Source organism: Homo sapiens, chromosome 19 (genome assembly GCF_000001405.40).
Source record: "Homo sapiens chromosome 19, GRCh38.p14 Primary Assembly".
NCBI classification, from domain to species: Eukaryota; Metazoa; Chordata; class Mammalia; order Primates; family Hominidae; genus Homo; species Homo sapiens.
Window position 1 is genome coordinate 16000087 of NC_000019.10, and position 27907 is coordinate 16027993.

A 27907-nucleotide genomic window follows, 5' to 3' on the forward strand; every position below is an offset into this window, starting at 1 on the left:
TCTTGCACTGGTCTATACACATTAGACCCTGGTCCTGGTGTCGGCTTTCATGCTGGCAAAAGTGGAGTATTCCGGGGAGACTGGCATCGGACTAAGATCCTGTGTTTATAGAGCCAGTCTAAATGCTTACAAATGCCTCAAATAGCCTCTCAGGGGACCGGGTACTGACGAACTCGAACCAGAGTTGCTCCTGGTTTCAGTTTAACTACTACTGGTGGATGATTTACAGCCAGCCTAGGTGGGTTATCTTCAGCCTATACCTTAGGAATTTTATTAACTAGTCCAAATAATAATTTTTCTTCTTTCCGTGTATGAAGCTGCACTGGCGCCTGCAGTTTCTTTCTATGAAGTCTCCATTCCTCAGCCTGTGGAATGGTAAGGGTTAACACTATGGCTTTTGGGTGAGTCAGATTGAAAGTCATATCTTTTTGAAGCCTAAAAGTAATCTGTGCCTGCAGTTTTTGAAGTAGGTCTCTTCTTAACAAGGGAACTGGACAAGTTGGGAGGTATAGGAATTCATGCTAGACTTCTCGTCTTCCTATAACACACCTCCTTGACTGACTAAATGGCCTCTTCTCTGAGACTCCAGCAGCTCCTGCAATAGTTGTATAGTTCTTGGATAGTGGCCCTATGGGTCAAGTTACTACAGAGTGTTCAGCCTCAGCATCTACAATAAAGTTCATCAATTGGCCTCCAACTTTTAATGTGACCACAGGCCCCTGGAGGCCTAATGAGAAGGAGCCTGGTCTGTCCTAATCCTCACATCCTTCAGCTCCTGTCAGCCCAATCAGGTCAGTATCTGGTTCCTCTAAGGCACCGCAGCCCTTGGCCGATGGCCTCTTTGTCTCACGGCCTTGGCCATTTCTTTCATTGCCTTCTGGACATTCATCCTTTTAGTGTCCTTTCTTTTTGCATCTCTCATATTGATCCCTCTCTAGCTTTCAAATTTGGTCGGCTTTCAAATCTTTGTCTAACTTAACCTCTTCCATGTCCACGTCCACGTCCGTGTCCTCTCACATTGCTAATCTCTTTTTCTATAAGGCCTGCTGCCAACAGATCTGCCTTTTTTTTAAGCCTTCAATCTGCTTCCTTGTTTTCCTCCTGGTCATAGTTAACATACACTTTGGTGGCTACTTCTATAAGCTGGGTGGCGTTCACGCCTGCAAAACCTTCTAACTGATGAAGCTTTCATTTGATGTTACCATGGGCCTGTCCTACAAATGATGTATTCACCATACGCTGATTTTCAGTGGCCTCAGGGTCAAACAGGGTGAAAAGTTGGTATGCCTCACAGAGTCTCTCATAAAACTGACTTGGGCTCTCATCAGCTCCCTGAAGCACTTCTGAAATCTTCCCTGTATTAATTGCTTTCTTTCCACCCTCCCTTAGCCCTTGCAGAAGTGCCTCTTGGTACCTCTGCAAACGCTGAAGCTGAGTTGCATCCTCTGGGTCCCAGTTGGGATCTTGGTCTGGGAGCTGGCCCTGAGCATATGCCTGAGCGTTCACTGCATCTGCTGGTGCAGGGGCTTCTAGTCAGTGGAGAGCTCCCTGTGTTACTCTTCTGTGCTCCTCAGTGTTAAACAGCGTGAGAAGAAGCTGCCTACAGTCTGGCCAGGTTGGATTGTGTGTCAGAAAGATGGATTGCATCAGATCTATGAGAGCTTGGGGCTTCTCTGTGTAGGGGGGGTATGGTGTTTCCAGTTTAAGAGATCAGTGGTTGAAAAGGGCTGGTAGATGCAAGTTCATTGCCCCCCGCCGGACTTGGACTTGGTCATTATAATAAATGGGTCCTCGCGTCTCCCTGAGAGGCATTTGCATAGCTCGAGCATGGCCAGATTTGAGTTGGTCTGCTTGACTATCTTGACTTCCTTCCCTGGCCCCCCGAGGCTCCGATCCTTCCCTTCAGGGTGAGACTTGGGGCATGCTGTCTTTTGAGTCTGGCTCCTGGGGAGCTGGAGCTATCAGCCCCTGTAAAGCGAGGTAGGCTGGGACATATGGAGGAAGAATCTCTGTTCCCTCTGGTGGCCCCTGCAAAACTGGCCTCTCTTGCTCTCTCTGGGACTTTCCCTTTAACTCTGTGTCTGCCAGTGAAGCTGCTCTTACTTTCACTTTTGGGTTGGCTCAGGCTACAAGTGTTTTGCAATAAGGTGCTAAACGGGGCTGGATCCAGGCTGGTCTTGTCTGTGCTATATTTAACCATGAATCAATACAAGGAAATTGGTCTGGATGCCCTGGCTGTCCTCCGACCCCTGTCACCACCCTAAATACACGACCAATTATTTCCTTGTCTATAGTTCCTTCAGTCGGCCATCTAACACCAAAAGAAGGCCATTCTAATTCTCAGAGAGTTCTCAACCTCTGGGGGGTTAACTTAATTCCATAATCCCCTGCAAAATCTTTCTTAAAGTTCTGTAACATGCATTCCAATGGAGTAAGTTTTGATGACTTTCCTCCCATTCCTCCCTTTACAGCGCAGCACACTCACTCTTGCACACTCACTCTTCCTCTTGTTTCGGCTGAATATACCATCTCCTATTACAGGAGTTTTCAGATGCTGCTTGGCTTCGGAGAGTTCCTTATTCCTGCTACAACTGCTGCAGTCGTAGGGCAGCTCCTATTAGCCATATGCAGATCACCGCTAGTCTTAGTCGGCCCCACACTTTGCTCAGAACACACAGTCCAGGCTAAGAGATCTGTGACTCCCCACTTTGCAACTGATGAACCTAATTAGGCCCCTCCATTCACACACTTTCACACACTTCCCCACTCCCAGTTCCCATGTTCTTAATTGGGGTGGTGAGCCACTCTCACTACCTCCAGTTTCCTTTTCCTAACCAACTTAGTGAGCCACTCTTGCATCCTATGTCAGTTGGGGTGTAAGTTTCATCTGAATTGGCGAGCCATTCTCACCACCCCCAGCCCTTCTGGGTTGGATTAATAGTCACATCCCAGGAGGTGATCAGGCTCCCCTTCCATCCTTATGGGGTGGGTCCTGCCTTGGGCCCCAAAACCTTACTGCAGTCCTGAAGGAAGCACGCTGCTCCTGGAATCATCCCATAGCCCCTCAGGTTCCACTGTGCTGCTGGGTAGGGGCACCAGGTCATGAGAGACCCGATCTCCCCTCCGGGCTGAAGTTCTCTGGGCAGTGCCTGGGGTCACAGGTCTCCCCTGGCCCAGGGCTCCTCCAGCCCCCACAGGCAAAGGAGACAGTAAGCCTGTTGTCTCCACTCCTGGCTGGCTCTTCAGAAATGTTGTGGGAAACTGAGGAACAGAGACCGATATGGGAGAACAGGAGGATATTTATTTTAAGGTATGCACCAGTTCAGTGGATTCACATCCAAAAAGCTGAGCGTTGGACAAAAACAAAAGTTAACTTATATAGGCTAGCATACAAGAGCAAAACAAAGACAATAAATTTTACAGTGACAAGCCACATAATCTATAGTGTAACTGCTAACTTGGCATAACTTGTGGCCTTGTATATGCAGCGCATCAGAAAAAAATTAAAACAGGAACTTTGCAAATCTTACTAAATACAAGCATTGGCAAACATAGTCATAACTAATAGTTCAGTACAGGAGAGACATTGAAGGAATTTGTTGTTCTTTTAACCTTTCTCAGGAGTGTCTGCAGCTCATTTCTGCAGGCCAGGTCGCCATGACCTGTCTATAGCCTTGCCTGCAGCAGAGGAAAACTTGTGTTTTTCAAATAACCCTTATTTCTTCTGGAGTGAATAAATGCAGTGTTTATTTTTCTTTAATTTCTGCCTTAACACTGCCCAAAGCAATTTATAGATTCAATGCTATTCCTATTAAACTACCAGTGAGATTATTTACAGAACTAGAAAAAAAACAGTTTTAAAATTCCTATAGAACCAAAAGTGAGCTTGAATAGCTAAGGCAGTCCTAAGCAAAAAAGGTAAAGCTAGAGACATCATGTTACCTGACTTCAAACTGTACTACAGGGCTACAGTAGCCAAAACAGCATGGTACTGGTACAAAAACAGACACATAGACCAATGGAACAGAATAGAGAGCCCAGAAATAAGGCTGCACACCTACAACCATCTGATCTTTGACAAATCTGACACACAAAAAAACTAACAATGGAAAAAGGATTCCCTATTCAGTAGATGGTGCTGGGATAACTGGCTAGCCATACGCAGAAGATTGAAACTGAATCCCTTCCTTATACCACATACAAAAGTTAACTCAAAATGGATTAAAGACTTAAATGAAAAACCCAAAACTATGAAAACTCTGGAAGACAACCTAGGCAATACCATTCAGGACATAGACATGGTCAAATATTTCATGACAAAGAAGCCAAAAGCAACTGCAACAAAAGCAAAAATTGACACATGGGATCTAATTAAACTAAAAAGCTTTTAAACAGCAAAGGAAACTATCAACAGAGTGAACAGACAACCTACAGAATGGGAAAAAATTTTGCTAACTGTGCATCTGACAAAGGTCTAATATCTAGAATCTATAAGAAACTTAAACAAATGTACAACAGAAAAATAAACAACTCCATTAAAAAGTGGGCAAAGGACATGAACAGACACTTTTCAAAAGCAGGCATACATGCAGCCAACAAGCATATAATAGAAAGCTCAACATCGCTGATCATTAGAGAAATGCTTATCAAAACCACAATGAGATACCGTCTAACACCAATCAGAATGGCTGTTAAAAACGTCAAAAAAAAAAAAAAACATGCTGATGAGGTTGCAGAGAAAAAGGTACACTGATACGTTGTTGTTGGGAGTGTAAATTAGCTCAATCAGTGTGGAAAGCAGTGTGGTTATCCCTCAAGGAGCTAAAAACAGAACCACCATTTGACCCAGCAATCCCATTACTGGGTATATACCCAAAGGAATAGAAATTGTTCTATTTTTAAAAGACACATGCACACCTCTGTTCACTGCAACACTATTCACAATAGCAAAGATATGGAATCAACCTAAATGCCCGTCAATGATACACTGGATAAAGAAACTGTAGTACATATACACCATGGAATACTATGCAGCCATAAAAAAGAACGAGATTATGTCCTTTACAGGTGTGAGCCACCGTGCCCAGCCTAACCAAAGGCTCTTTTCTGAGCCATCATTTTCCCTGGCAGGCAGTGGAACTGAGCAGATGGGCCAGTGGCCATAGTGCTGCTGCCTTGTGTGGGACCCACCAATTGGACTGGCAGACCAGTGGGTTACTGGTCCCCATGCAGGCCCCTCGCACCATGACAGCCGAGCCCACCCAAGCTGAGGGATGCTGGAGAGATATCCATTCACCCTGGCCAGGCACATTGGCTCACGCCTGTAATCCCAGCACTTTGGAAGGCCAAGGCAGGTGGATCACCAGAGGTCAGGAGTTTGAGACCAGCCTGGCCAACATGGTGAAACCCCGTCTCTACTGAAAATAGAAAAATTTGCTGGTTGTGGTGGTGGGTGCCTATAATCCCAGCTACTCAAGAGGCTGAGGCAGTAGAATTGCTTGAACCCGGGAGGCGGAGGTTGCAGTGAGCCGAGATTGCACCACTGCACTCCAGCCTGGGCAACAAGAGCGAAACTCCATCTTGAAAAAAAAAAAAAAAAGATATTCATTCACCCACCCAGGCAGAGCAGTCAATACCATTTCTCCTCTGGTGGATGAGGGATGTCCCTTCTGCCCTCACCCCCGCAGTCTTGGGAGAACTATAGGATAACATAAGAGCCTTTGGCCAGGTGATCCCCCAGTAGTAGCTCGTTATATGAGTGCCCCAAAGCACGTCCTTGTCACCCCTTCCTGCAGTCCTTTCCCTTCTGACTCCATTTTATGTCTCCGCCAGTCATTTTATTTTCAGCCCTAAAATATGTGCAGTGTTACATTTGCTTTTAACTTTCTGTTAACTCTCCATGGGCAATTGACTACTGTGGGACACTTGGTTGTGAGCGGTCTTCCGTTGTGTTGACTCTGGGACATCAGAACCAGAGTTGTTCTGTGTCCCCAACTTGGGTTCACTTTTGGCCACCCCTGGGGTGCCCCAGGGTTTTTGGCATTGGTGAGGGGACCCTCGTTGACTGAAACTTGGGCACTTCTGAGTCTTCAGCTTTGTTATGTTGGCCACCCCCTGGATGCTCTGGGGTTTTCAACATTGACATTCCCTGTAGGATTATGGATTATAGCCCTCCCTCTAAGGGAACATTGGTCATGTCTTTTTCTGCCCTAAAGTTAGTACCATCTTCCTGGCCAAGCACAGTGACTCTCTCCTGTAATCCCAGCACTTTGCGAGGCCAAGATGGGTAGATTGCTTGAGGTCAGGCGTTCAAGACCAGCCTGGCCAACATAGTGAAACCCCATCTCTACTAAAAATACAAAATTTAGCCAGGCGTGGTGGCAGGCGCCTGTAATCCCAGCTATTTGGGAGGCTAAGGCACGAGGATCGCTTAAACCCGGGAGGCAGAGGTTGCAATGAGTCAAGATTGTGCCACTGCACTCCAGCCTGGGGGACAGAGCGAGACTCTGCCTCAAAAAAAAAAAAAAAAAAAAAAAAAGAAGCACTATTTTCCTAATAGCCAGTTGCTAGCCCTTTCCTGTGTACTGTCTTACCAATTGCCTTGCTCGAGCCCCTCTTGGTCAAAGGAATTGGGAGTTCCCAGGCCCCTGGCCTGACAGACAGCCACCTACAGCAATAGACAAGTGGCCACATTAATTTTTTTTTTTTTTTTGGCGTCTTCACTACTACGTAAGTTCTCTGGCAAGTCAAGGACCGTAAGGTCTCCCTTTGTGCAATGTTTACCCTTCCCTTCCTCGCTTACACAGTCACTATTTGGTTGGCCCCCCTCTCTGGGTAATGCTCATTTTCTGTGGAATTTAGGCTTAACATCCAACTGCCCATTTGAAGCTCATAATCCACTTTTGTAACATTTTGCTATCTATATAAAGTGGGAAATTAAATGGGATAAGTGGGCTGGGTATGGTGGCTCACACCTGTAATCCCAACACTTGGGGAGGCCAAGGCAGGTGGATCACTTGAGCCCAGGAGTTCGAGACCAGCCTGGGCAACATAGTGAGACCCTGTCTCTACAAAAAGTACAAAAATGAGCCAGGTACGATGGCGCACGCCGGTAGTCCCAGCTACTTGGGAGGCTGAGGCAGGAGAATTGCTTGAGCCTGGGAGGCAGAGGTTGCAGTAAGCTAAGATCAAGCCACTGCACTCCAGCCTGGGGGACAGAGTAAGACCCTGTCTCAAAAAAAAAAAAAAAGGAAAAGAAGTAAAAGGGAAAAGTGAAAAGGCATTTGCTAAACTTAGGCTAACTGAAACCCCTTGTAGTGATCTTTACTAAACATAAGGACATCACCAAGCATCCCAAGGAACTTGCCACTAGGATGTCTTTCAGGCAATTGGAATAAGTTCAAATTATTGGGCAAGTTGAAAAAGAAAAAAATCATTTACTATTGCAATATGTTTGGGTTCAATTCAAGTTGGCAAACCAACAGATTTGGCCTAGGCATGGTTCTTTACATTATAATGGTTGTATAATTAGATTTGTTGTTTCGCTTTTTTGTTTTTGAGATGGAGTCTAGCTCTGTCGCCCAGGCTGGAGTGCAGGAGCGCGATCTCAGCTCACTGCAGCCTCTGCCTCCCGGGTTCAAGTGATTCTCCTGCCTCAGTCTCCCAAGTAGCTGGGATTACAGGCGTGCAGCACCACACCCAGCTAATTTTTGTATTTTTATTAGAGATGGGATTTCACCACGTTGGCCAGGCTGGTCTCCAACTCCTGACCTCAAGTGATCCGCCTGCTTTGGTCTCCCAAAGTGCTGGGATTACAGGCATGAGCCACCATGCCGGGCTAAATTCCCCTTTATATATACATCTATCCTATTAGTTCTGTCCCTCTAGAGAACCCTGATAATACACCAGGCCATACCATTTATCATGTGGGAGGGGATGTGGTTCCAGATCTAGACCCCAGTAGGATTATCAGAGAAAATCTCAAGATCTCAAACACAGAAACCATATGCTAATTTGTTTAATACATGGTAGGAAAAAGTGTGCAGTTAAGCCAGTTTTTTATGATAAGATGGGAGAAATAACTCAGGAGAAAGTTGAAAATCCCGTTCTATTTCAGGGCTGTTTCATTGAGGCACTCAGGAAATATACTATAAGATCTACTTCTGTTTGGATCTCTTATGTCTATATGTTAATATGTGTCATGTGGAAATACGATTTCACTATCAATCATATAAAAGAGCTCTCATTAGTTGGTTTAAAGAAAGGTTGGTTCAAGCCGGGTGCGGTGGCTCATGCCTGTAATCCCAGCACTTGGGAGGCCAAGCGGGTGGATCACGAGGTCAAGAAATCGAGAGCATCCTGGCCAACATGGTGAAACCCTGTCTCTACTAAAAATACAAAAATTAGCTGGGCATGGTGGTGCGTGCCTGTCATCCCAGCTACTCGGGAGGCTGAGGCAGGAGAGTCACTTGACCCCGGGAGGCAGAGGTTGCAGTGAGCCGAGATCGCACCACTGCACTCCAGCCTGGGTGACAGAGTGAGACTCCATCTCAAAAAAAAAAAAAAAGGTGGTTCTTTAAGCAAGGCTGGGTTAAGAATAAATAAATAATAAAAATTTTAAAGTAAACAAGAAAAAAAAAGTTGGCTGTACATGGTGGCTCACGCCTGTAATCCCAGCACTTTGAGAGGCTGAGGCAGAAGGATGGCTTGAGCCCAGGAGTTTGAGACGAGCCTGGGCAACATGGCAAGACTCTGTCTCTACAAAAAAAAAAAAAAAGAAGAAAAGCTGGCTGAGCATGGTGGCTCATACTTGTAATCTCAGCATTTTGGGAGACCAAAGTGGGAAGATGGCTTGAACTCAGATGGTCAAGGCTGCAGTAAGCCATGATCACACCATTGCACTCCAGCTTAGGTGACAGAGTGAGACCTTGTCTCAAAAAAAAAAAAAAATAGAAAAGTAAATGTTTATCAGACTAGTAAAAGCTAGCTCAGAGGCTTTCCAGTTCACACGACTTTAGTAATCTTTGGTAAGATTAACTTGGTAAATTTAGTCTCAAAATTATTTTGAGGAATTTAAAATCTTTAAATCATGTTATGTTAAGTAATCCTAGGGTTTTCGCTGGGAATTAGGGTTCTAAGAGTTAGAATAGTAGGAGAGTAAGATGTGTTTTTGGTGACGTTTATAAAAAACATGACGATGTCTTTTTTGCTTAAGAAAATACAATTTTTTCTAATTTAAAGGACCTTTCTACTGGCATTGAGATTAAAACCACTGTATCTAACCATTTGCGTGTGTGTGTGAAGTGGTAAGTTTCTATTTGATATTAATGGCTAGAGTTCTAAAGTAAAAGCTATATGATCTTTTTTTTTTTTTTGCGTCTCACTCCAGCCCAGGCTGGAGTGCAATGGCGCGATCTCGGCTCACTGCAACCTCTGCCTCCCAGGTTCAAGCGATTCTCTTGCCTCAGCCTCCTGGGTAGGTGGGATTACAGGCGCCCACCACCAAGCCCAGCTAATTTTTTTTTTTTGTATTTTTAGTAGAGATGGGGTTTCACCATGTTGGCCAGGCTCGTCGCAAACTCCTGACCTCAAGTGATCTGCCTCCCTCAGCCTCCCAGACTGTTGGGATTACAGGCATGAGCCGCTGCGTCCAGTCTATAATATCTTTATTTGTGTACGTGTGTGTGTGCACACACACGCACTCATGTTTAGATGTGTTTATGTGTATTTACACGTGTTTTGCTATTGTGGCCACAAGATACCAATTTGGCTTTAAAATAAAAGAATACCTATAAATTAAGTAAATAAACCCAAATACTTTTCCAGTTCATGTGACTTAAGTAAATCTTTAATAAATAAGCTGGATTTAAAATTACTGGTAAAATAAAATTAGAAATGTCTTCAGAATTGTCAACATAAGTTATTGTTTAGATGTATTGGTCAAGCAGTTTTATATTTATCTCTGCTAAATATCATAAGATGTCAAGATTTGGCGTGAGGGTTATCAAGCTATAAATGCAGCCCAGAAGAGAATTATCTTGGCCGAGTGCAGGGGCTCACGCCGCTAATCCCAACACTTTGGGAGGCCAAGGCAGGCAGATCATCTGAGGTCAGGAGTTCAAGACCAGTCTGGCTAACATGGCAAAACCCACCTCTACTAAAAATATAAAAAAAAATTAGCTGGGCATGGTAGTGGGCACCTGTAATCCCAGCTACTCTGGAGGCTGAAGCCGGAGAATCACTTGAACCTGGGAGACGGAGGTTTCAGTGAGCCAAGATCACACCCCTGCACTCCAATCTGGGCGACACAGCGAGACCCGTCTCAAAAATAAAAAAATAAATAAAATGCACTAACACACCAACCTGGGCAAAGTGGCAAAATCCTGTCTCTACAAAAAATACAAAACTTAGCCAAGCTTGGTGGTGCACACCTGTAGTCCCAGCTACTCAGGAGACTGAGGTAGGAGGATCACTTGAGCCCAGGAGTTAGAAGCTGCAGTGAGCTGAGTTGGCACCACTGCACTCTAGACTGGGGAACAGAGACTGTTTCTCAAAAAAAAAAAAAAAAAAACCCTAAAGAATTGGTTAGAACGAGTAAATTTTCTTACAGTATTGATTTACTCTTAATAAAATTATAAAAAGTTTTAATTTTTAACCCAAAAGTTCAACTTTTATTGCATCTCTTGCTGTATTCAGCTTTCTCTCCCCTTCAAGAAGTTCTGAGATAGTAACTGTCTCTTTCAACTTTTCATCGGCCTCTGTAACTGTTTTTCATCACATTCTAACTGATGTGGCCTGATGTCAGAAATGTTTTGTCTTAAAGTCTAAAGGAAATGTTTTCATCTAATATAACATTCTTGTGCTCTTGGCTTTAAATTCGTCTATGAAATTAAAAACTCACTTATGACTCGGGACACACTCTGTGTCTAAATCAGTACAATTTTCATTAGATTTGACTTGCAGCTTATCTAAATGGACTCCCCATGGAGAAAAGCAATCACACTGCAGACGGTCTTTTTTTTTTTTTTTTTTTTTTTTTTTTGAGATGGAGTCTTGCTCTGTCGCCCAGGCTGGAGTGCAGTGGCGTGATCTCAGCTCACTGCAAGCCCTGCCTCCCGGGTTCACGCCATTATCCTGTCTCAGCCTCTCGAGTAGCTGGGACTACAGGCGCCCGCCATCTCACCCCGCTAATTTTTTTGTATTTTTAGTAGAGACGGGGTTTCACCGTGTTAGTCAGGATGGTCTCGATCTCCTGACCTCGTGATCCACCTACCTCGGCCTCCCAAAGTGCTGGGATTACAGGCATGAGCCACTGCGCCCGGCCAAAAGGTCTTTTTTTTTTTTTTTTTGCCTTTTGGTAACTGATGTAACAAGCAAATGTTTCATCTTATCAAAATAATTCCTATGTTATTGTTATTATTGATTTTCCTAAGAAAACTGAGATTGTAAAAAATTAAGATTATGACATTAATGTAACTTTCGGCATTACTTTTAAAGTCCTTGTGCTCTTAAGTTACAGGACTTTGACTCCTGGGTCTAAAAAGGACACCAAGACCTGCAAAATTTTAAACACTGACAGCAGTTAAAGCCTCATTTTTGGACCCTAGAGAAGATTACAATCAAAATAAACTGTGTTCGTGAGACACAAGGCCAGAAATTAAAACTATTATTATTGAACCCCTCTAGACCCAGGGACTATCATGGAAAAGGTGAGCATGCAAGATTGTAAGGGCCAATTTTGAGAGATGAAATTAGTTCAGAGTTTCTCTATAACTTAAACATTAATGTTAAAGGCACACTGAAGCAAGACCAGCATCTGGCTTATATAAATTATATCTTATGGTCAAGATGATTGAAGCTTGTTTATAAGATTGAGAAACTGGCCCCATACCTTGTCCCTTATTAGGGCTTATTATTTAGGAAAGTAAGTCTCCTCTCTCAAAAAATAATAATTTAAGGTCTTTGCATTTTTTTGAAGTGTCTGAGTTACTACTTTGGCTAAATGAATGACTTTAGACAATCACCTATGATCCTATTTTGTGATATTAAGTGTCATAGACTTTCGATATTTGACTAACTTTCCAAAATCAACTTCTAAATTCAGTCTTTGTGACCTCATTATTTTTTATATTAGATCTCCTGAAGTCCATGAGAGACATATTTGACTAATTTAGTACAATAAAATCATACTACATGAAGTAGCGCTGTCAGTTTGGGAGTGAATGAAGGGGGACGGATGCAGAAATAAAGACAAAGACAAAAAGATCTGTTTTGAAAGAAGGATCAGGGGGCTCCTCGCTTCTAGTGAGCAAAGGCCCTGAGCTTCTACAGCCCTTCGTATTTAATAGATGGAAAGAGCAGGAAGGGAGAGGTAATGGTTGGTCAGCTGCTTGATTTATCACAGGGACACGTATATCTATAACAGCCACAGGTGCTTCTGTGACCCACATTTTCCCTGGCGGGTCCTCACACTGGCTCAATAAACTTGGATGATTTGAGACTTTGCCTTGGTCATTCACTTTTGTGGTCCATGGGGGCCTGGTCATCAAAAGCCCAGTCAATGGGACATAGTCATTGCGGGCCTTGTCTGTGGTGACCTGGTCAGCCAGAGTCTTGTCAGTGAGGGGGAAGCCCGGTCAGCAGGATCTAAGTCAGTGGGGTTTTGCTCGGTGAGGAATTGGTCACTGGGGTCTGCTCAGTATGGGCCTTATCTGTAAAAATCTAGTCAGTGGGCCAGGCACGGTGGCTCATGCCTGTAATTCCAACACTTTGGGAGGCCAAGGTGGATAGATCACCTGAGGTCAGGAGTTTGACACCAGTCTGGCCAACATGGTGAAACCCCACCTCTACTAAGAATGCAAAAATTAGCCAGTTATGGTGGAATATGCCTGTAATTCCAGCACTTTGGGAGGCCGAGGTGGGTAGATCACCTGAGGTCAGGAGTTTGACACCAGTCTGGCCAACATGGTGAAACCCCACCTCTACTAAGAATACAAAAAATAGCCAGGCGTGGTGGCATGTGCCTGTCGTCCCAGCTACTCGGGAGGCTGAGGCAGGAGAATCACTTGAACCTAATCAGGAAGTGGAGGTTGCAGTGAGCCAAGATCACACCACTGTACTCCAACATGGGTGACAGAGGCAGCCTCCATCTCAAAAACAAACAACAAAAAACCTAGTCAGTGGGGGTGTAGGGAGTGGTATTTTGTTCAGTAGGGGCCTGGTCACTGGGGGTCTGGTCAGCGGGATCTGAAAAGTAGAGCCTCGTTAGTAGGGGTTGGGCGGTTAGCACCTGGTCAGTGGAAACCTCGTCATTGTGGTCTAGTCAGCTGAGGCCTGGCGGTGTGGTCCTGCTCAGTCAGCGAAGGTCTCACCATTGGAAGCATGTCAGTGTGGCCTAGTCAGCAGATCCCGGTCCATGGGATTTGGTTATTTGGGACCTGGTCAATGGGGACGTGTTCTGTGGGGACCATGTCAGCAGAGACCTGGTTGTCAGGGGTGTGGTCAGCTAATGCGGTGCCACCGAAGGACTCCCCAGTGGGGCCTACTCAGTGGGGCCCTGGTCAGTGGAGGCCTGGTTGTAAGGGGCACTGTTGGCAGTGACCTTGTCATTGAGCTCCTGGCCAGTTGGGACCAGTCAGTGGTTTGGGTCAGTGGGGCCTGGTCTGTGGGGCCATGTCATGTGGTCTGGTCAGTGGGGCCCTGGCAGTGTGGGCCTGGTCATCAGAAGCCTAGTCAGTGGGGGGGCCTACTCACGGGGGTGTTGGTCAGTGAGGACATGGTCATTGTGGTCGGCTTAACGGGATCCATTCAATGAGGGTCAGGTCATGGAAAATCTGGTCAGTGGGGTTTGATCAGCAGGGGACTGCTCAGTGGGGATCGGACCAGTGGGGCCTGGTCAGCAGGCGGCCGGCAGTTCCTGGGGCCTGGTCAGTGGGGTCCAGCAGTTGGGACCTGGTTGATTGGAGGGTCCAGCCCTACGGGACTTAGCGGGTGTTCTCCCCGTGTGCAGAGACGAGAGAGCGTAAGAAATAAAGACACAAGACCAAGAGATAAAGAGAAAACAGCTGGGCCCGAGGGACCACTACCATCAAGACGCGGAGACCAGTAGTGGCCCTGAATGGCTGGGCACACTGATATTTATTGCATACAAGACAAGGGGCGTAGGGTCAGGAGGGTGAATCTTCTAAGTGATTGACAAGGTGAAGCAAGTCACGTGATCACAGCACAGGGGGCCCTTCCCTCTTAGGTAGCCGAAGCAGAGAGAGAGAAGGCAGCATACGTCAGCGTTTTCTTCTATGCACTTACAAGAAAGATCAAAGACTGTAAGACTTTCACTATTCCTTCTACCGCTATCTACTACAAATTTCAAAGAGGAACCAGGAGTACGGGAGGAACATGAAAGTGACCATTGGAGCACAGCACCACAAGGAGGGGTTTAGGCCTCCGGATGACTGCGGCAGGCCTAGATAATATCCAGCCTTCCACAAGAAGCTGGTGGAGCAGTGTTCCCTGACTCCTCCAAGGAAAGGAGACTCCCTTTCGCAGTCTGCTAAGTAACGGGCGCCTTCCCAGACACTGGCGTTACCGCTTGACCAAGGAGCCCTCAAGCTGCCCTTATGCACGCGTTGACAGAGGGCTCACCTCTTGCCTTCTAGGTCACTTCTAACAATGTCCCTTCAGCACCTGACCCTCTACCCGCCAGTTATTCCTAGGTTATGTTAGTAACGCAACAAAGAGTAATATTAAAAGCTAATGATTAATAATGTTTATAATAATGATTGATAATTGTCCATGATCATCTCTATATCTAATTTGTATTATGACTATTCTTATTCTAACTATTTTCTTTATTATACTGAAACAGTTTGTGTCTTCAGTCTCTCACCTCGGCACCTGGGTAATCCTCCGCCCACAGTCAATAGGGGTCTGCAGCTGGGGCAAGGTCAGCGGGGATCTGATCAGTGAGACCTAGTCAGGTCTCACTGACTGACTAGGCCCTGGGGGTTGGGGCCTGGCCAGCAAGAGTCCAGTAGTTGGGGCGTGTTTGGCGAGGGTCTCATGGTTGGGGTCTGGCCAGCGGGGGTCCCACAGTTGGGGCCTGGTGAGCAGAGATCTGGCAGTTGCAGCCTCGTCCATGGGGGTCTGGCAGTTGGGGCCTGGTCAGCGGGGTCTTATAGTTGGGGCCTGTTTGGAGGGGGTCCAGCAGTTGGGGCCTGGTCAGAGGGGATACGGCAGCTGGGGGTTATTTGGCAGGGATGCAGCAGCTGGGACCTGGTAGGTGGGGTCTGGCGGTTGGGGCCTGGTCAGTGAGGATCAGATCAGTGCGGTCTAGGCAGTGAGGTCTGGACGCTGGGCCTTCATCTGCATGGGTCTCGCAGTTGGGACCTGGTCAGCAGGGGTCTACCAGTTGGGGCCTGGTTGGCGGAATCAGGCAGTTGGGACCTGGTTGTCGGGGGTCCAACAGTTGGGGCCTGGTCAAAGGGGATCCAGCAGTTGGAACCTGGTCAGCAGGGCTCTGGCAGTTGGGGCCTGGTCATTGGGGTCTGGCAGTTGGGGCCTGGTCAACAGGGGTCCAGGAGCTGAGGCCTGGTTGGTGGGCCGTCTAGCAGTTGAGGCCTGGTCATCTGGGCCCGGCATTTGGGGCCTGATCGGCGGGGATCAGAGCAGTGAGGCCTAGTCAGTGAGGTGTGGATGTGGGGGCCTGGTAAGCAGGGGCCCAGCAGTTGGGGTCTGGTCAGCAGGGGTCTCATAAGAAGAGGCCTGGTTGGCAAGGGTCTGGCAGTTGGGGCTCAGTCAGGAGGGGTCTAGGAGTTGGGGCCCAGTCAGTGGGGTCTGGCAGTTTGGGCTTGATCAGTGCAGTCCAGCAGTTGTTGGGGCCTGGTCAGTGGGGGTCCAGTAGCTGGGACATGGTCAGTGGAGTCCAGCGTCCGGGGCCTGGTTGGCAGGGGTCTGACAGTTGGCGCCTGGTTGGTGGGGATCCCATAGTTGGGGCCTGTCAGCAGGGATCCAGCATTTGGGGCCCAGTCAGTGGGGTTCAGCTTTTGGGGCCTGGTGAGTGGGGTTCAGCATTTGGGGCCTGGCCAGCAGGGGTCCAGCAGTTGTTAGGGCCTGGTCAGCGGGGGTCTGATTAGTGAGATCTATTTGGTGGGGTCCATCAGTTGGGACCTAGTCAGTGAGGGCCGTGAGGGCCTTGTCAGTTGCAGCCTTGTTATTGTGGCCTTTGTCAGTGGTGTCTGATGAGCCAGGGCCTGGTCTGTGGGGCCCAGTCAGCAGGACCTGGTCAGTCCACATCTGGTCAGTGGGACCTGGTCATTGTGGGGGTGGTCAGCTAGGACCTGTTCAGTGGGAGCTTAACCATTGGAAGCCTGGCCAGTGGGATCCTGGGTGATCTCAGGCCACGGGTTAGTCCTCGAAGCCTCCGTGATTGCCTCCATCCATGGGGTGGGGGGTGAGTCACAGCACCCCAGTGGGCTTCTGGGAGGAGGAGGTGAGAGGGTGCATTGCATTGAATCCAGCCCTGCCACACAGACCTGGCACTTTACACACTACGCGAGTCACCCCAAGGGGGAAGCCTGGCTTCTGCCCTCTGCCCTCTGCCCTCTGCCCTTTGCCCTATGTCCCTGCCCCATCTGCATCCCCAGGACCACCCAGCATGGAAAGAGCAGAGGCTGAGGAGCACCTATGGGTGCTCTGATGCTGGCCACAGGCCCGGGGGTGACAGTGACAGGGATCCAGGTGCACACCTGAGTGGAGCAGCCAGGCCCAGCTGGAGGAGAGACGTGTTCACCCACACACATGCATCCTCACATACACAGACAAATTGCACGCATACATGTTGACCATTAAGCGGGCAGAGGACGCTGACCCTGGGCCCTGCTGAGCCAGGTAGGGCCCCGTCATGACAGAGGCTGTGAACCCATGCTGTCACTGTGCCAAGTGCCGCCAGCCTACCTCCGTGTCATGGAGCAGTTGGAGACACAGAGGTGCTGTAAGTGGTTGTGCAGAAAGGACCCTTTTCTGGGTGAGAAGCACATCTCAGCACCGCTGCCTGATCAGACTCAGGAAAGCGTGACCTGCTCTCTTCCCCCCTGCTGACTTGGGGACAGTCACAACCAGGTGGGTGGCAGCTACCCGAGGAGGGTCATCCATGAGCACTCACCGGGTGCCCGTTCTATGCTGACCATGCAAACAGTCGTCTCCTTCATCCTCACGGCGACTCCATGGCGGGGTGGAGGGGTGCTTTCCTCAAATGTACCCACTGAATAGGTGAGACGCCTGAGGTCAGAGGGGCAGTAACTGGCCCAGAGACCCAGACGTGGCCCTGGGCCATGCTCTCAGCCCTGGCCTGTGCCATGCTGAACTCAAGCCTTGACCTCTGTGACCTCCGTGTTCTGGATTGCACATCTGCCTGGGGTTTCTGACCCCAGTGGAGCTGAGCCTCGCCCTAGAAGAGCCCCCAGGATGGAGCCCCTGTGGGTGGGGTGGAGGGTGGTCCTCCGTCCAAGTCTGTGCTCTAAGATGGGTCCCCACAGGGGGAGATCTCATCAACCCAGACTTCGGGTGCAGTCAGTGGGGGTTGCTGTGGAACCCACTGGACATACTGGGTCCCTCGTCTGGGAGTGGGGTGGGGAGCCCTCTATCCTTGGGCAGTTGTGGAAAATGACGGAGGTCCAGAGGGCTGGCCAGAAGGTAATGATCATTCCTCCTTTTCGCCAGGTCTGGGGCTTTTCCCCACGTGGCCCTTTCTCTGCCTGGTCCCCTAGAGGCCTCGCCCTTTCTTTGCCCTGACTGTTCATGGGAGGGGTCCCTCTGGGGTTCTCCAGAACCAAGTCCCCAGAGTTCTCTCATTCTTTCTTGGTGATCCGGAAACACGAGGCCCCTTCCTGTATTGACAGCTCAGAACTGTGGGATCCACCATCCCGCCACCTGAGACATCTCCGTGAGCACAGAGGCTGCTTTGGCCCAAACCAAGCACCCTCCCATTTGGCTGGTATTATTCTTGACGCGGCTTCTCTGGCCAGAAGGAGTGGAGATGGGGGTGAAATGGAGGAGTCACAAGGTGTCTTGTTCCCTGTAGGAAAGTGGGCCTCTTGGTGGTCCCTGAGCGATCTGGGAGGCTGAGCATATGGAGCTCTCTGGTCCCTGACCCCAGTCTGCCTCCAGGTGCCCAGGATAGCGCATCAGGAGCCCCTCACCCTTGGCAGGTGGACGCAGTTCATCCTGTGTGTGCCTGTCTCTGGGCGTCTGGGGACAACAGGCCTCTGTGTCCAGGTCCCCCTGTCAGGTGCAGAGACTCCAGAGACCCCAGCAGGCATGGGGCCACTGGGTCTTCACCCAGGGCTGTGGTGGCATGGGGCTCACCCGGCCGGCGGTGTCTCAGAGCCCCCGGGAGCGGTTCAGATGTTCTCTGAAGCGCTCAGGTGCAGCGTTGCCTTTGGGCGATGTTGTCTCACAGGATGGACGTGGAGGAAGACGTGGCTACCCTACTTGCACAGGAGCAGGGGGCATCATTGCCCAGTGTGAGCAGGTACAGGTCGGGCTGCTCCCTCGAGAGAGGTGGGGCCTCGCCTCTCCCACTGTGCCCTGGTGGGAGGATCCTGGGCTCCCTTAGGAAGCAGGGTGGGAGCTGGTTGCCCATGCCTTTGTGCCCCCACAGCCCTTCACCTCAGCCCCCTCACTCTGGACCCCTCTGGGTCCCAGGGACGCTGTAGGGCCCAAGGATGTGGACAGCTTACAAAGTTACCGATCGCCTCGAGATTCTGCAGTGAGTCCTCTGTCCCTGCTGCCCGACCATCACCAAACTCACCTCAGAGGATGAGTTTTGTTTTTAGAAAAGCCTCTCTGAGGCAGGACACGTCTTCCCAGCTTGGGCCAGCCTCCTTTCCAGGGTAGGAATGCCAGCTGGCTACCCTGCAGGTGGTCTGCAGCAGGCCAGAGCTGCGAGGCTCATCTAGGGATCTTGGGGGAGCAGGTGGGGATGGAGAGGCTCTCAGCAGAGCAGTCTCAAAGGCAGCATGAGAGTAGGGAACAGCCTGAGGGTCTGGCCCTGTCACCCTGGGCCCTGCCCCAGTGAGACCCGCAGGCTGTGGCCACAGGGCAAGGGGGTGCCTGGCCCAGCCTGTGGGCAGTTGTCCAGCAGGTCTCTGAGGATTCAGGGGGCCCAGCTGAGCCACCCTACAGGGAGGGGCGTGGGGGGCAGTGAGGGCCATACCCCTGGGAGGGCGGAGGGGAAGACGGGCAGGGTGTCAGCCAGGGCATGTCAGGGTGAGGGCAGGGATGCAGCAGAACTTGCAGCTGAAGGCAACCTGCCTTGGTGCTGAGAGGGAGCCTGGGTCCTGGGAAGGGGAGCCCAGCCTGGAGCCTGCCCCTCAGGAGTCACAGGACAGAGAGAGGGAGGAGCCTGGGGGAGGTTGGTTGGGGACGATCCCACGGGAGGTGCCACTTCTGGGACGCACCTGAATGGAGCCAGCCTAGGGTGGAGCTGATGGCCTGGGGTGAACAACACATGAGGTGGGGCTTTAGCAGAGGGGCCTCAGTCAGTCCCCAGGGCTCTGCATGGCCCTCCGGAGACCCTGGCTCCCCGCTGGATCCGTCAGCACAAAGGCAGAGGGAGGAGCAGGAAGGCCGAGTAGGGGCAGGCAAGACAGTGGGGGAACAACCAGGGGCCCAGTGCATGGCTGCCACAGTGGCTCAGAGGAGGGCAAGGACTGATGGATGGACGACAGCCCCGAGAGCCAGCTGAGTTTGGAGACGGGGCTGTGTGGCCATCCCGGCTGCCCGCGGGGCTCTTGCTCACCCTCGTCACCTCTGGCATCTCCCCGGCAGCACTTAGCAGCCCAGTGAGAGAGCGGTCAAGGCAGGCGTGTGGATGGATCCAGGGCCCTCTCTCAAGGGTTCTGACAGATGAGGGTCGAAGAAGGGCCAGGCTGTCCAGTCTCTGGGCCAGAGAGGATGGGCAAAGTCAAGGAACAGGCAGGGTCAGCAGCCGGGGTGCAGGGAGAGGCAGGTGTATGCTGGAAGGTCAGGCCCCACGAGGGCCCTTGGGGGCATCAAGTGGGACAGGGCCCCGGCGCACCCTCAGTGCCCTGGGCAGGCCTCGGGCCAGTGATGTGGTCACTCCCTCGGGAAATGCTGTTGGGACCGGACCACCCACCCTGGGCCACACCCATCCCGCCTCAGGCCTGGATTTTCTGAGCTCCCGCAGAGTGTGCTGCCTAGCCCAGGAGGGGCACCCCCATTGTGCAATCCAAGCCTCGCCCTCCACAAGCCCCAGGCAGCCCCTGTTGGGTGGGCCCTAGTTCCCTCTTCTCCCAGGCCCCAGCCCCTCCCAGGCGCCAGCTGGCAGGGAAGCACCGGTCCTCCCTTCCCTGTGTGTCCCCTGGATGGAGACCTGGGGCGGGGGTGGGGGACAGGGCTGGTTCTTTCCTGGGGCCCACTAGGGGAGGAGGAGGACAGTTCCTGGCCCAGCACAGGTCCTCAGCTCTGCCTGGGTTGCCTTACAGTGAGACGTAGCTGCCACCCATCAGTGCCCTGGAAGTGAAGGTAAGAGCCTGACCCTGCTGTGTGAGTGGTTGGTCCAGGGACAGGGGGACCCAGTGGGTGGTCAGCAGGCTGTGGGCCTGGGTGGTGATGAGTGGGAGCGACAGGCTGTCCCTGGGCCTGCGGGACCTGACCTCAAGACTCTGTCCCCATGGTGGCTTGATCAAATCCTAAACCGAGAACCACAGTCGTGGCTCAGCAGTCACTGCCCACTTGTGCCAAGACCCCACCTGAATGTTGGGACTCCACCAACGCCCGGGGTGCCTGTGGCCTGAGGATGGCATGTCCCAAGTCATGAGGCCAGGACACCTGTGCTCATTCAGTCAGAGGGTCTCCATTCCCTGGGGCCGGCCCTTTCCTGGCTCCTTCCAGTTTGATCCTGTCAGGGCCCTGGAGCCCAGGACCCAGCATCCAAGGGGCATCCTGGCAGCTCCACTAACTTCATCTTATTTGACAGAGAAGACATCAGGAGATGAGGGACACAGAAAAATGGCTCCAGGTGCTTCTCGACTGCCAGCGACATAGGAGCGGCAAGGAGGTGACATGGGGAGGGAAGGGCCCCGTGACCACTTTCTACAGAGTCAGGGTGACGGGCTCCCACGGCTGTGTCCTGGCACCCCCAGCCTCTCAGAGGGTGGACACTACACTGGGACACCAGCTTTCCTGTTCTTCCCTGCAAACCTCATCTTGCCAGGAGAGAGTCTGATGCCAGGGCCAGGGCCAGCCCTAGCTCAGGGGTAGGGACACCCCCTGGTGACCCGAAGGAAGGAGTAGGTCAAGATCAGAGTTCATGACCGGGCGCGGTGGCTCACGCCTGAAATCCCAGCACTTTGGGAGGCCAAGACGCGTGGATCACCTGAGGTCAGGAGTTTGAGACCAGCCTGGCCAACATGGTGAAACCCCGTCTCTACTAAAAATACAAAAATGAACCGGGCGTGGTGGCACGCAGCTGTAATCCCAGCTACTCAGGAGGCTGAGGCAGGAGAATCGCTTGAACCCAGGAGGCGGAGGTTGCAGTGAGCCGAGATCATGCTACTGCACTCCAGCCTGGGTGACAGACCAAGACTCTGTCTCAAAAAAAAAAAAAAAAAAAAAAAATTTCAGCATTTGCGACCCACCAAGACGCAGTAGTTAGGACTCAAGCTCACTACTGGCTTGGGCATCCAAGCAGGAGGAGAAGGGTCTCAAAGGTGTCAAAGTAAGATGGAAAGAGGTCAAGGCCCAGACCCCTGGTCTAACCTGAGCTTGACCACCATTTCACAGAGCAAGTAATGACGCCCTCCTCCCAGACTTGCCCCAAAGCCCCCCAGAGCTTGGTGGTGTCCCAGGACGGTCCTCCCAGGAAACATTTTGAATAAGTTGCTGAAGTGCCTGATGGACGTGGCTCTCGTCACGAAATGAGTTTGGATCCGAGAAGCCCTCTTCTTCATCGGAAAACAGGCAGGGGTCCAATTTCCCCTCCACCTGAACCCTGTCAGAGCCCTTCCAGCTGACGGCTCCACATGTTGGGAGGGCCTCTCATTTCAAGATGGGTCAGGGGCTTCTCAGGATTCTTTAGCCCAAACTGTGCCAGCCCACGAGGAGCACGTGTTATGAACGTCATTCCCAAAGATCCTGCGGCACTTGGTGAACAGACGGTCCCCTTGGCTCCTTCCCAGAGGCCCTGGGTCCCATGGGCCAGGGGTAAAGGGGCGGCTGGAGCCCCTGGTGGGGCTGGCAAGAGGCTGAGTCCCAGCCAGGGACATGGAGTTCTCCATGGCTTCGGAGCTGGAGTTTCCTTTTCCCGCCCTGGAGCAGGCAGAGGCACTCAACCCGGGCCGAGCTTGGGCTGAGCAGGGCTAAGGGAAGTATGTCCCGGGGGTCCATGCAGGGGGCAGGTGTCAGGGGTGCCCCAGCCACCACCTGGTGTTCTGTCCCTCAGGGAAGGGTCTGCAGAGGGGCCTGGAATGGGGAGGTTTGGGGGCAGGCCTGGGAGCCCCAAGGACCTCTGCTGCTCCCATTAGGACAAAGATGAGCTGCGTGCCCATAATTCCACGTTTACGCTGACTCCTCCAGTGCCTCATCAATGAAGTAAGCAGGTACAGTCATACATCAGTGAAGTAAGCAGGGAGCCCCCAGCCCAGGGACCCTCCTGCCCCACAGTCCCTGCATCCCCTCCTGCCCACACTCCCTGCATCCCCCAGCCCTCCAGCCCAGGGACCCTCCTGCCCCATACTCCCCAGATCCCCCGGATCCCCCAGCCCTGAGATCTGGCTCCCGAGGAGGACCTGGCTCACCCCCACCTGGCAGGAGGCACAGGCGTGTCCCTGCAGGGCACATAAGCCAGGCAATGCCCCAGAGGGGACATCCCACAGCAGAGGCCGGGGCTCAGCCCAGCCTCATGGGCAGACAGGGCCAGGACTCAACCTGGGAGAGCCCAGGGAAGCCCCAAGCCCTTGGGGAGCCTCTCCTTCCAGGAGCCACATCCCCACTGAAATGAGTCTCCTCCATGAGGAACTACAGGACCTCTTCTGATCCAGCCTCACAGGGGAGTGGGGTGGGGGATCTCATCCCATGGGGAGGGGTCCCTGGTGCTCCAGGGCACTGAAACCCCAATGGGCCCTGCTCAAGCCACCAGCCCCCAGCTAAGAAGGGTCAGGTCCTCCCACTCCTGTTGTTCCGAAAGACTCTCTTTGGGCTTGCCAGGCAGCTACGTTCTGGATGGCTAGCATGTACCGAAGGCACAAAACCTCCAGAGTTGGCAGAGTTAAGTCCTGGCGTGCCCGAGGCTATCCAGGGGAACACGCGGGACAGACAGCACCCTCAGCCTGTCCCCATGACCCTCTGCTCCAGTCTGAGGGGCAGGACACCATGAGACCTCTCAGACACAGAGTCCACCCTCGACATGACCCGGATGAAAGGCAGGAGTGTGGTGAGCCCCTTCCTGCCCAGGCCTCCCCCTGGCCGTGGCCTCCTGTGCACAGCTGGACCCCAGGGGTGGCCCGAAAAGGACCCAGCACTGCCCAGTGGGAGGGGGCCATGGTGGAAACAGGGTGTGGACACCAACCTCTCCCAGGGACCCCTCCCAGCCTGATGCCCATCCTGCTCCTAGAGCATCTCATGAAGCTGTCCCAGTCCAGCCTGGGGGAGCTCATCCAGGACCAGTTCTTCCGGGCCTGGGCCCTGGAGGATGCCATGGCGCTCAGGCACCTTCATGTCTCCATGGGGTTACTGATGAGGAGGCGCTGAGTCCTGCTACCCCCAGGTGGGCCCCAGTACCAGGTCCCCTCCCAAGTCACCCTCTGGGGCAGTCGGCCAGGGCCCCTACAGCCTCACTACCTGGGCCTTCCTCCTGCACCTTTTTTCCCCCTCTAAGAAGCTTCTGGAGGCCGGGCGTGGTGGTTCACGCCTGTAATCCCAACACTTTGGGAGGCCAAGGTAGGTGGATCACTTGAGGTCAGGAGTTCGAGACCAGCCTGGCCAACATGGTGAAACCCTGTCTCTACTAAAAATACAAAACAATTAGCCGGGCGTGGTGGTGGGCGCCTGTTATCCCAGCTACTTGGGAGGCTGAGGCAGGAGAATCACTTGAACCCAGGAGGTGGAGGTTGCAGTGAGCCGAGATCACACCATTGCACCCCAGCCTGGGCAACAAGAGTGAAACTCCATCTCAAAAAACAAAAAACAAACAAAAAAGAAGCTTCTGGAAATAAGCCCGTGGGTCCTCAGGGCAGGTGCTGAGCACATGTGTGCTGGACATGCTGCAGATCAGGCAGGGGAACCAGGGGAAAGACTCTTCCAAGCCCCACCACTGCCACCTTCCACAGTGCCCTGCTTTTGCCCTCGAAGCTCGCTGAAGGGGACCCATCTCTGCAAGCCCACAGCCCTACCTGCAGCATCCACAGCCTCAGAGAGCAGCGGGGCCCCTTACCCCTGAACCCCCTCCAAGAGCATCAGGACAACAAGCCTTGAGCTGTGGAGACAAGAGAATCAGTATCCCTGGCCCAGGGAGGATTCCAGGAGAGGACACGGGCAGGAGCCCTGGCCCAGAGCCAGAACCAAGAGTCCAGCCAGGTATGGAAATGGTCCAGTCCTGGCATGGAGTGGATGGCCTGGGGCCATCCATCTCACCCACTGTGGAGACAGGCCCCCGAGTGAGGTGGCAAGGGGGCCAGGTGACAGCAAAGGCCTCTCCCATCTGAATTCTGAATCAGGGGCCGCATCCCAGCCGGCACAGCCCTGGGGTGAGAGAGAGAGGCAGGAAGCCTTGAGCCAGCCCAAACCCTCGGGGCTGTCTTAGGAGCAACCTGAGGTGCCCCAACAGCTCCCCCGCCCAAGCGCACACAAAACTGTCACTCCAGGATCAGCTACCTGCAGGAGAGTCCGCAGCATCGGACTCAGGGAGCCACACAGGGACCGCAGGGACTCCAAAGACCCGGGTCTGGGGGGCCCGGCCCTGTGAGGACCTAATGGGCTCAGTTGGAGAAGCGGACGCCACACATCTGCTTTCCTTTCAGCGAAACTGGAACTAGGGTCCCCGGCACCCAGGACTCTGCGAGCATCCCCCAACAGCAAGCCCTTCTGCAAGGGAGACGGGTTGGCCCACCCCAGGCTGTCCAGCTCCAGCAGCCTTGCAGGCAGCCTCTCCAGAAAAAGAGCCTGGTCCTCCCCACCCTGCTCCCCACAGGCTGTCCCTGACCCTGAGGCCCAGAGGCACAAGAGGACTTCTGTAGAGCCCAGGGGAGCAGGCTGTTCTCTTGGGGCCCCAGCGGGCTCAAGGTGTGGCCAGGCTGTCCCCAACTCAGGATAGATCATAGGCTGTCCTGCGTACCTCCTCTGGAACTCCCTGCCCAAGCTCTGCCATGGACCTGGACGTCAGGGGCCTGTGGTTTAACTTTGAATAGGGATTCTGGACCTTACACGTGTGCCCTGGACAGCCCCAGAACCATGGGGTGGGGACCGACCCAGCAAGCCCACCGGGGCCCTGAAACCCGGCCCTGCCGGACACTGTGATAATAACCAAGAGGCAAGTCCAGAGACATCCACTTTGCCCAATGGCACCTGCATCCAACTTCTCAGCAGGCAGTGACTGGCATGGTGTGGGGGCAGCCGGGGCAGCACCTGGCCAGCACCTGGCCAGCTGCCCTGTAGCCCCCGATGGCTCCAGTGCCTCTGGACCTCATTTTCTACTTTCTACGGGGAAACCTACTCCCTCAGAGGCCACCAGAGGGAAGAGTGAGCAAGGCGTTCCTGCAGTCCCGACCAGCCAGCGGCATGTCCTGTGGCCTCTGACTCAACCTATGAGACAGAGCTCTGATCCCAGGGCACACTTCCCAGGACACGGGGCCCAGCCTCAACCAGAGCCCTGTGAAGGGAGGGGCACCAGGATGACCACATGGGGGACCATGGCGCTGCACACCTGGGCACTGTACTTCTCATTGGAGAATCCAGGCAAGATCTTGAAGCAGGTGCATGAGGTCCTGAGCCTGTGCAGCAAACAGCACTCATCTGGGGTTGGCACGAAGGGGTCTACAGAGCCACGGCCACCGCAGCCTCTTCCCGGCCCCATCTGTGCAGTGCAAGTGATCCACGCCTGCTCCTAAACCCAGCCCAGCAAGCAGCAGCAGCCCGGGCCCCCAAGCCCGCCAGGCCAATGTGCTGCCCAGAGGCTTCGAGGCCCTGCCCGCTGTACCTCCCACCACCTGGAAGCTGCCTCCTGACGCCTTCCAGCCACTGCTGCAGCCGCAACAGGTGTCGCGGCCAGTGCAGGCTTTCCAGACGGTGGCAGCGCCCAGCAGCCGTTGCCTCAGCTCTTTGGTGGCAGCCAGGCCAACAAGGGCAGCAACGATGACTAGGATGATGAGTGAGCAAACAGCTCCACACTGGTGGACAGGCTGGGTGCGCACCCGGTGGTCCTCAAAGGCTCGCTGGGCCTGTACCACCGTTATAAATTTGAGATCATGAGATTATACCGTTTGCCTTCTTGCTTTTTGAAGTACGAGTATTTTTATGCACACTTTGTAGACTTCAAAATCCATGAAGAGTCTCAAAGAAGCCGGATGGATGGAGCCTGCTGCGGATGCCTTTTACTCTCGTAGATCAGGGTGATTTACATTCCACCTGTAGTCTGCTTGCAAACACACAGAGCAGCCTTGCAGCTTTGTGCCTTTAGACTCTTGGTTTTGCATTTCTCCCTGCTCCCTTCTTCCTTCCAGTAAGCTGCAACTTTTCTGATTGAAAGGGTGCAAGGCTAACACACGGAATGACTAACTCAGGATCACATACTGGCAGTGGGAGAGGCAGGAGGAGCAGCTGCCATCAATTGCCAGGGCCAAGTGGATGATAGGATGGATGCTGGTGCATGCGGAGGAGGCAGACGCAACGCTCATCTCTAATAATGATGTCTGTTCCCTCAGAGGCGGCTAGAGCATCACCTCTTCACGCAAGTGTCTTGAAACTCAGCTTGAAGATTTCAGCAAATGTGTCTTACAGAGAAGAGAAGAGGGAGTCAGCCCATCGGGATTAAAAATATAGAGGCAGTGACAACACACACTCGGCTTCAGTTCTTAGGAGAGTTTTGGTTTTGATTTTTTTTTTTTTTTTGGAGAAGATTTTTTTTTTAATGGATCTACACTGTTAACTGAGACTCTGTTGAGATTCACTGGTTTACTTAAAAACTTCTCAGGGATGTCTGTAAATTTCAGTGTTATATGTCATGAAAACTGGTGTGGGCAGATCTGTTGGTTGAAATAATTTCTACTGTTTCAAATACTGAAGGCAGGAATAATTGGTTTATACTGTGTTTTAAATAGAAGTATTACTGGTAAGTCCCCCAGGACATTAAACCTTAAAAATCAGTTTTAAGCTATTATTATTGTAAGAGAAATACAAATGGCTGGAAAATGCCACAGAGATTCAAAAGCTGCTTAATTGAAAGAGCAGGAAGGGATTCTGGCTTGCAATGCCAAAGTTTCAATGTTTTTGTAGTTACTGAGCTAAATCATATGGTAATTGACAGTTTCTAAATCTGTCACCTAAAGGTTAAATTATCTACTGTTGCCGTGAAGTCAAACTTACTGCTGCCTCAGAAATCCCTGGGTACCGCGATGGTCATACAGAAGTAAGGAAGTCAATTTGAAATGTCAGTGAGTCAAAATGATTAAAGAGGCCAGGTGCAGTGGCTCACGCTTGTAATCCCAGCACTTTGGGAGGCTGAGGCAGTGGATTGCTTGAGTCCAGGAGTTTGAGATCAACCTGTGCGACATGGCAAAACCCTGTCTCTACAAAAAATACAAAACAAATTTATCCAGACCTAGTGGTGCGCGCCTGTATAGTTCCAGCTAGGGGGCTGAGGTCGGGGGATGGCCTGAGCCTGGGAAGTCAGGGCTGC

At 51.8% G+C, this 27907-nt stretch overlaps 2 long non-coding RNA genes across 2 annotated transcripts, besides 3 other annotated features; one reads left to right on the plus strand and one right to left on the minus strand.

Moving 5' to 3' along the window:
* Window positions 1554-1823: an enhancer, noted in NCBI's record as "active region_14194". NCBI's record gives its function as "activates an Ori minimal core promoter by ATAC-STARR-seq in GM12878 lymphoblastoid cells {active_cell/tissue: GM12878}" and the evidence as "EXISTENCE:reporter gene assay evidence [ECO:0000049][PMID:35858748]".
* Window positions 1954-2003: an enhancer, noted in NCBI's record as "active region_14195". NCBI's record gives its function as "activates an Ori minimal core promoter by ATAC-STARR-seq in GM12878 lymphoblastoid cells {active_cell/tissue: GM12878}" and the evidence as "EXISTENCE:reporter gene assay evidence [ECO:0000049][PMID:35858748]".
* Window positions 2034-2223: an enhancer, noted in NCBI's record as "active region_14196". NCBI's record gives its function as "activates an Ori minimal core promoter by ATAC-STARR-seq in GM12878 lymphoblastoid cells {active_cell/tissue: GM12878}" and the evidence as "EXISTENCE:reporter gene assay evidence [ECO:0000049][PMID:35858748]".
* Window positions 14050-14970, minus strand: LOC105372291 (uncharacterized). Its single transcript, XR_936355.1, has 2 exons — window positions 14885-14970; window positions 14050-14299 (listed from the first exon to the last, which is right to left on the minus strand). It is a non-coding gene; the product is annotated as an uncharacterized LOC105372291 (long non-coding RNA).
* A 577-nt stretch (window positions 14971-15547) lies between these two features.
* On the plus strand, window positions 15548-27376 carry LINC00661 (long intergenic non-protein coding RNA 661). The gene is made up of 9 exons (NR_026828.1): window positions 15548-15703; window positions 18455-18526; window positions 20502-20541; window positions 20996-21076; window positions 21802-21978; window positions 22594-22616; window positions 23224-23449; window positions 24367-24591; window positions 25035-27376. It is a non-coding gene; the product is annotated as a long intergenic non-protein coding RNA 661 (long non-coding RNA).
* The last annotated feature ends 531 nt before the right edge of the window (window positions 27377-27907 follow it).